The sequence below is a fragment of the Homo sapiens genome, chromosome 20 (assembly GCF_000001405.40).
Source record: "Homo sapiens chromosome 20, GRCh38.p14 Primary Assembly".
Taxonomy (NCBI): Eukaryota; Metazoa; Chordata; class Mammalia; order Primates; family Hominidae; genus Homo; species Homo sapiens.
The window spans coordinates 55129376-55131151 of NC_000020.11; the positions used below are offsets into that span (position 1 = coordinate 55129376).

Sequence of the window (1776 nt, forward strand, 5' to 3'; positions counted from 1 at the left end):
TGGTTTCTTCTTTCTCTCCCAGATCTATCACTAAATTCTTCCCCTATTGTAGGACTCAGATTTCTCTGGACAGGCTTCCTTAACCCTAAACTAAAAGCCACATGCCAAATATTCTAAGTATAGCTTTTGAAGGGTGGGAAGATTAAAATTTTAAACTATGACAAGACATTCAGGAAATCTACAGTACTCCTTCTTAATTTCTACATCTGACCCATTTTGCTTGATTTCTTTATCTGACATATTTTGTTTTTGAAAACTTACTTGCCAGTTTGGATTTCCTTTCTCTCTCTTTCTTCCCTTTTTTCTTCTCAACCATTATACCTCCCAAAAAATCCTTAGCATGGAAGCGTCACTTCAGACCATATTTTCTGCAGAAATGGGCTAATAAAATTGGCAAGCGAGATTGGCAAATGGGTTTTGGCTAAAGATTATTGGTTTGCTGCTGTTGATATCACGATCAAAAGCTTCAGGCTATTTGTCCTTGGCTGCCCCTGTACTGAAGTAGGCACCCTGCTGTTCACCTTCTGCCTTGTTCACTTACAAATTTAGGCACTCAGAGTCATCTGGTAAGTTCTCATATCTAGTTTAAAAGGAACAGTTGAGAAAAGGCAGGCCAAGGGCACTGTCTGAAGGTCTTTATAGCACTTTGTCCTTGGACCCTTGCGGAGTAGCCACCCTCCATACATATGTACGAAGCAAATGTTCTCCCCACCCCTCCTTGTTGTCTGTGCATTATTCACTACTGATGAGAACTCTGTACTGATCATTTATAGAGCACATCGGGTCATTGCCTTTGATTTCCTTTTGCTCTCAAAGGGCATTTGAAACAAAGCACAATATTCAGTCTGGATGGTTTAGGCCCCAGGAGAGGGGAGTAGGGTGCCCAAATACAGCCTGCTTTCATTAAATGAAGGCTCACTCCAAGGGGATTAAACGATCTAATTCTATACTCCTTTTATTCTGTTTCTTTTAAGAGACAGAATACCTTATTACTTATCATATTATTGAAGATCTAACATATATTTACAATTGTGCTATTAAAGCTGTAGTTTATTACAACAAACATTGATCAATCACTTTTATATACTCTATATTGCTATACATTTAAGCTGAGGAAGGCACAAATTTAATCTGTGATATAAAACCTGTTCTCAGATGACTTACAGTGGTAGAATTGGGGGAAGACCTGGCTGATACACAGGAAACAATAAGGGAGTACAAGAGTGAGTACAGAAAAAAGTGCAAAAGGAAATATACACGATCTTTGACATGCATGTGGCATACCATGGGTGCTGAGTAGTCGCAATGGAGAGAGACTTTGAGGACTTCTCAGAGAAGTAAAAAGATATTATTAATAGTATATTAGTATCTACACAAACTATTGCCTGCAAGGAGAGAGACATAGAGTGGATCTTGGAAAATAAAATACTGGCAAATATACTCATATTTTTCTTTTCCCTATTATACATGTGTTTTTGGCAAAAAATGATAACATTAATGTATTTTATATATATATATATATATATATATATTAATTGCAGAAAATAGTAAGTTACATTTATGGCATAATAAGAAACCTAGAGTCCAGGGTTGGTGAAATGACTTCACAATATTATCAGTGTCTCAAGATCCTCCTGTCTTTCTGCCCACCCAGGCTTAGCATATGGCTGTCATCTCCACTTGTTTGCCTCACCCTGTTCTTTTCTTTTCTTTTCTTTTTTTTTTTTTTTTTTTGAGACGGAGTTTCGCTCTTGTTGCCCAGGCTGGAGTGCAATG

General features: G+C 37.4%; 1 annotated feature.

The window, feature by feature from the left end:
• Nucleotides 304–805: an enhancer, noted in NCBI's record as "NANOG hESC enhancer chr20:53746218-53746719 (GRCh37/hg19 assembly coordinates)". NCBI's record gives its function as "activates a minimal SCP1, AML or CMV promoter by ChIP-STARR-seq in naive H9 embryonic stem cells {active_cell/tissue: H9 hESC(naive)}" and the evidence as "EXISTENCE:reporter gene assay evidence [ECO:0000049][PMID:30033119]".